The sequence below is a fragment of the Homo sapiens genome, chromosome X, assembly GCF_000001405.40.
Source record: "Homo sapiens chromosome X, GRCh38.p14 Primary Assembly".
In the NCBI taxonomy this organism is placed as follows: domain Eukaryota; kingdom Metazoa; phylum Chordata; class Mammalia; order Primates; family Hominidae; genus Homo; species Homo sapiens.
In genome coordinates this window covers 54,993,804-55,000,243 of record NC_000023.11, presented here as the reverse complement: position 1 = coordinate 55,000,243, position 6,440 = coordinate 54,993,804, and the positions used below count along the sequence as shown (strand labels likewise).

The 6,440-nt window shown below is 45.8% G+C and overlaps 1 protein-coding gene across 10 annotated transcripts in view; it reads left to right on the top strand.

Moving 5' to 3' along the window:
- Nucleotides 1,455–6,440, top strand: part of PFKFB1 (6-phosphofructo-2-kinase/fructose-2,6-biphosphatase 1) — a 65,829-nt gene continuing 60,843 nt past the window's right edge. For 6 of the 10 annotated variants that reach the window (NR_073450.2, NM_001271804.2, NM_002625.4 and 3 more), the window contains exon 1: nt 6,056–6,333. Coding sequence is in view for 8 of the 10 variants with exons in the window: in XM_017029576.2 (XP_016885065.1) it covers nt 6,213–6,333 (121 nt within the window). In the remaining 2 variants the exon portion in view is untranslated. Of the gene's footprint in view, nt 1,839–6,055; nt 6,334–6,440 lie in introns of those variants that run through there. The other 4 variants (NM_001271805.2, XM_047442158.1, XM_024452389.2 and 1 more) reach the window with 1 other exon arrangement.

Genomic DNA, 6,440 nt, shown 5'->3' with positions numbered 1-6,440 from the left:
GGAGGAGGAACTGGGTGGACGCTGAAGGAAGCAAAGCGGAAGCCTAGGGGCAATGAATGGCGAGAGGAGTTTCCAGTTGGGCTCCCGCTCCTTCCGCTCGGACAGCTGAGTCTCAATGCGTTTTTCCTCTACTCAGAAGTCCAAGTGGTGCGTCCGGTTACTTACAAACGGCATTTTGCCACTTTTTAAGCGACGGAACCCTGAGCGGAACTGCTCAGCTGCCAAAGCCCCGCCCTCAGTGCGGCGGACCGCCCACCTAAGTTCACAGATGGCTGCAGCGCTTGCGCCCCAGGAATAGCTGGCGCTAAGTGCTCGCGTTGGACTGGGCAAAGGGAAGTTCATGGTTGGAGGAGGGAGCAGTAAGAGTCGCTCCACTGAGATAAGACTTAGGAGGAGGGCCTTTGGCTTTATTGGGGCAGAGGGGAGGAGGAGGAGGCTGTCTCAAGCCTGCCCTGTAGCTTTTGTCTTGGCTCTTAACATTCTGAAGGATGTAGCCGGACACATCCTTACTCTTGGTTCTGTTTCTCAGATAAGTGAAATCGAAGCCCAGGAAATGTAAGCTCGTGAGCAGCATTGTCTCCGGATGCATCCATGGCTCTTCTGTATATGTTATCTCATTTCATTCTCAAGACAACCCAGTTCGGGACATGGAGGCTAAGTTAGAGACGTCGAATGAATTCATTTCATTCTCACAGTTCACTCTCTCTTACACTGAAGTAGTAGAGCCAGGATTCACACCCTGTCTTAATTAGCTCAATAATTACTTTTCTGAGTGTTTTTACTGACCACACACCTCCCCAGTTAAGTCTTTTCCTCTGGGGCCCCACGGCACCCTATGGTCCATTCTGTCACAGTACTTATAATACACAGCTATCATTGACTTCTATTTCTGCTGCCATTAGAATGCCAGCAACTTGAGAGCAATGACCATGTCTGGTTCATCTTGTTAGCCCCATCCCCTAATACTGGACACAGCATATGTTGGGAAGCAATAGATATTTGTCAGGTGAATGAATGAACAAAGGATAATAGCAAGAGCATCGACAGGTTCATGGCTTGTTTTTGAGAGCACAAAAATTAGAAGTAATGGATATGCCCAATGTCCAGGGAAAAGCATAACGATGCATCTTTAGGTTCCTCACCCAGAATTGCAGCATAATTATTTGTTCCCCAGAATTTAAGTCTTAGAGCCATCATCCTCAATGGTTACAGCAAAGACGCAGTAAACTGCTTTTCCTCCTGGAGGACTTAAAAGGTTACCAGTTGTTGCTATCAGAAAATAGCTCTGTGATTAAAATAAAAATTTGCATGTCCTGAGCTTCTTCATGCTTTGGGAGTTATTGACTCAGGATTGACTCCCATGAGTGCGATAACTAGGACAAAGGAAATGAACATTTTTATTGCTCTTGCTTCATATTGCCAGATTGCTTTCCAGTAAGGGATTATGCCCATTTACACTGAAGATCGATCTGAAACTCAGCACCAGCGAAATCCAGAACTTGCCTGTCTCCATGGCTGGTTTTAATTTCCCCATTCTGCAGTGGCTTGTTAATATTAGTTCTGACCTTTGGGGCAAGGTGAACACATGGTTGGACTGAAGAGAAAAGGCTTCTGGTGGCTCAGGAACGTCTTTGGCAACTACAACAGCTGATATTTCAACAGAGCACATACATCCCCCACTTAACAAGGGTACGTCCTCAGCCTTCTCAGGGAACCAACGAACACCTCCAGGCTTCCTCTTTGATGCCACCCACTGGACCTGCCTTGGGGGTCTGTAAATGCAAGAGAACCGAGTGTTGGATAATTAGCGATGGAAGAAAAAACCTCTAGAATAAAAGGTAGGTGAGAAAGAAGGGAAAGTAGGCAGGAGTTGCACAAATCCACATCCATTCTTCAGGCCCTCTGGAAAGTTTTCTTTGCATAGATGGTTGGTTGTCGTGTGCATTAAAGGGCATGGGAAAGTGGGGGAAAAGATTATATCTATATGTAACCTATTTATCTGTCTGTATATTTTTAAAAGTCCATTCTGGCCTTTATGGGACACTGGCCCCCAGGGCAATTCACTAGCACCTGTGAAAGTCTCTCTAACTTGGTCAAGTCTGGTTTTGAATGAACTGAGTGATTGAGATTATAGCTCTTACCTCCCCACTGATGTGTAAAGTAGGGTTGATTTGCTGTGGCGCTTTGAACAAGCTCTCTTGCTTCTCTGGGCATCAGTAGCTTCCTCAGTAAAATGGAAATCAAAGTCTCTAGCCAACGTTCCTCAGAGGGCTGTCACGATCAAGAAGAGTGGAAAGGCAGAAACCAAAGCTCTTTGGAGACATTTCAGGACTTCCTCGCTCTAAGAGTAGTCATCTTGCTTTTTCTATAGGCTCCACAAGCAATCCCACCCAAAACCCTCCAGCTGCTGTGCGACTATAGTCTGTGGAGAGCCACTTCCATGACTAGGATTCAGTGAGGTTTGGGGCCCAGGCATGAGGCCGAAAATAGTGGAGAGATGGTGGGCCAGGACAGTGGGTGAGAAGGAAGGGGATCCTAGGCTGCTGTCACAGAAGGCCTGACACTCATATACATGCACCTAGCTTGTAAGTGTGTGGTCGATCTCCCCTCACACCTTCACTCTCCACAAATGCATTCATACCCAAACAGTCTGAGAGCTACCAATAGGGAGACCCCATTCGTGACTTTATTATCCATCAGCACTGTCATATGCTGCTTTACATGGTATTCTCCCCCGATACACATGCCCTATACTTTGGGAGGGGTATGGGGTCAGGATCTGGGGGCCTTGGGAAATCACATTGTAATCTTTTCTTCCCTAGAGATAGCCCCATTTTAGAATTTTAGACCAAGAGCTGCAGGTCAGAGCTTGATCTTGAATGAGAATCTGGTACTGACTGAACCCTTTCTCTGCCACGAGTTCATTGGCCCTTTTCAGAGAGGACTTCATTCTTTTATCTGTTTCTGTCCCATTCAAGGTAGAGAAACCTTTCTGGATGCCACCTCCTACCTCAGACAAATTAGTTCTCCCATCCAATTCCCTGCACAGCTCTCTGTTATAATATTTACCTTGTTGAACTAGGATTAGTTGTCCACAAGTTCATCTCATCTAGGGCAGAGAGATGTAGACTGCACAAACACAATAAGCAAGTGTCTTCTCTGTCCTCTGTGCCAGGGCCTGAGTTGGACACTGGAAACACAAATTACAGATCACTGAGATCTAGTCTCCATACTCAAGGAGTTCACAGTCTAGTGGGGAAGCAGACCAGGAAAATACTGGTGGATACTTGCTCAGATAGGAGCATGTGGGCAATATAAGAACCAAATACAAGGCCTGTCCCAAGGATACAGGGGTCACTTCCCAGAGGAAGTGAACATCAAACCAGACCTTGAAAAGTGGATCAGATTTTGTTGGGAATAGAAGGAGGAAAATGGCATTTCAGGCTGAGCAAAGGCCAAAAAACAGGAAAATACACCATGTATTTTGGGGCCCAGTGAGTCAGCCAGTGCAGTTTAAGGATGATCTAAGGAGAGATATGGCTGGACAGATAGGCTGAAGCTTGATTGAAAAGTCTTGAGTGCCAAGCTGAGGTCTTTCCATAAAGCTTGTTTTGGTCTCCTGCTTCTGGGATCAGAATTGGTAACAGTAGTGAGGAATCTCATAGCTAATTCCAGGCAATTTTAAGTTAGGCTTTCAAGCCTGGACCCCAGGTTTACCCTTTAAGACTTTGTCAAAAGCCTGCCAGCTTCTTATCTCAGATTTCCTGCTGCTAAAATTATCCTTCTGCCTGTTGGCAGGGCCATGAGGACAAAATTGTAAACATAAAAGAGATGTTCATGTGACCAGCTAGATTACCTTGAACATGCCACTTCCCCTCCCCAGACCTCAGTTTCCCTGTAAGGCTAACAAGGATGTTTGCAAGGATCAAATAAGATAAGGAATATGTTGTTGCTTTGTGGGCAATGGAAAACATACAGGGAAAGGGTTATAATTAAGATTATTAATATTAACAGATTTATACCAGTTAGGAAATTTATTAGAATTAAAAGAGTTGTATCTCTTACAAAGTCTAGTTCTGAGACTCTAGAGGTTCTGAGCTAACCTGTAAGACCACATTCTTAGATCAGGCTTGTTTGATTAATTAAAGAAAAGCCCTGGCCTGGGAGAAATTAGGTCCCTAGTGTTCTATTCCTGACTTGGCCACTGATTTACTACATGACCTTAGGAAAATATTTCTAGACCTCAGTTTTCTTACCTGAGAGGGTGAGATGAAATGATCTTGCAAGTCTTTACACAAAATCAAAAGAGTAAAACCAAATTCATCCTTCTAATTGATTTGCAGGAGCTCTTTGTGTATTATAAATGTTAACCCTTTCCCATAATATTGTAAGTTTCCTTAACTGAGAGTTTTCTGTATGGTCAGCATTATATTAGAAGTTTCAGATTAGTCAAGGAGGTGTCTGATCATTTACCTCCCAAAGGGAGTAACAGTGTTAGATAATATATTTTTAACATTTCACAGATTGCTTTACATTTTTTAACACATTGAATCTTCAACAGTCCTAAGGAGGGTAGGTACTCCTATCATTCCCATGTTCCAGATAAGAAAACTGAAGCACTGAAAAGTTTAGTCTTCTGCTCATTGCCTCATAGCCAACAAGGGGCAGAGGTAGGATTCCACTCAAGAAATATTGCTCCAGAGCCTATTGCTCTTAACCATCATGATCTGCTATCTCAGTTGATTCATTTAGATAGGTGGGCTCTGGAATGTATTAAAAATTTGGTATGATTTATACACAACAACTGGAGGGAATCTGACCCTTGTGTAGACTACGGCTTGCAAATGTATTTTAGGGAACTTCTTAAAAGGCAAAGTGGAACTGAGAGCATTTGAGGGCAGGGATTGGAAATTTCTGTCCCCAAGAGATTGCCCTTGTGTAGCCCAGCTCAGTGGAAGAAAGTTGAGCTTCTTCATAGCCAATCGTTGGAGGTTCATTGGGGGTGGGAAGGTTGCAAAAGAGTGAAGTAAGAGGACACTTGTGCATCTTCGAGGCAAGCTGTGCAGTTCTATGAGTTATACACATAAAAGCCTCAAAACAACGGGTCAGGGGAGCGGGAGAGGGCAGGTGAGAGTGAGTCATCTGGGCTGGATGACTCTGGCCTATGGACTTGTCCTACTTTGAGGCCATTGCTCTCTGTTCCCTGCTGCAGCCTCCACCCTCCTAAATCTCCATCCTAATAGCTTGGCATGAGGAACTTTAGTGAAATTTTCTATCAGTTCATGATGCCAGTGTCATTCTCCTTAGGGCATCTGATGGTGGCTAACAGCCATGTGGGCAGAGCTTACCATTCCCCCACCTCCAGCCCCAGGCAATGGCTGCACTCTTCCAAAGGTGTCAGTTTACTCCTATTTATTTAGCCCTTGGCTGGAGAGAGTAGAAAGATGATCGGATAGTGCCCATCTCTTCAAGAGTGCTCCAGGCAGCACATTTCAGGTGGGAGAGGCCCTGTGGCAAGGAAGGCAGCAGAATCCAGAGAAGACAAGGGATGCAATGCCATTTTGGGTCGGGGAAGCAGAGAAGTAGTGGACCTTCCATGTCCAGTTTGGGCCTCTAATTGCCAGCTCAAAACACTGCATTCCCCAGTAGGGACTTTGTGTTTGTGTTTTTGTCCTTGGGAACCTTGCATTTCTGATGTGAATCTTGGTTTCTGGGTTGGAGCTTGACATTCTACTTGGGCCCATTTTTTTATTTCAAAGCTGGGAAAGCCGCTGAGACCTACCTCCATCACCTTTGCCTCTATACCCCACACAGGCTGTAAGCACATGATCTTTGGTCTTTTATTTGCATACTCTATTAGTCTTGTCTTCATTGGAGGGAAGTGACTGGTCAGACCTGGGCTGTGTTGCTGGCTGCCTTCCTTGTTGGGCTCCAACTTACCTCCTATGTACACAGCCCTTGGAGTTCAGAGGCCTCTCCTGACCTCTGCCCAACCTCTCGCCCTCTGCACCCAATACCCCACTAGTACATACAGGAGCAGAGGCAGGCTAGGACCAGAGGAAAGAAGAGAGGGGACTGAAGACAGACTTTGAGAGGGCTCAGAAACCCAGTACACCCCCTGTCCCAGCCCTGTCCACCTGCTGCTGTGGCCACAGCGAGAGAAAAGACAGCTAGTAAGATAGGAAGTGAGGCCAGGTACCTTGTGGGCAGTGATGTCATTCGGTGCGACTCCTAAGATGTCTCCAGAGATGGGAGAGCTCACCCAAACCAGGTTGCAGAAGATCTGGATTCCACACAGCAGCGGCAGCAGCAGGCTGCAACGGAGAAGGGGCTGTAAGTGGGGTTTGCTTCCGTGGGTTTAAAGGTGGTGGTGGTAGAGTGGGTGTAGAAGAGCAAAGGATGCACCTCCCCTTGCCATCCACTCCTACCTCAACCTAAAA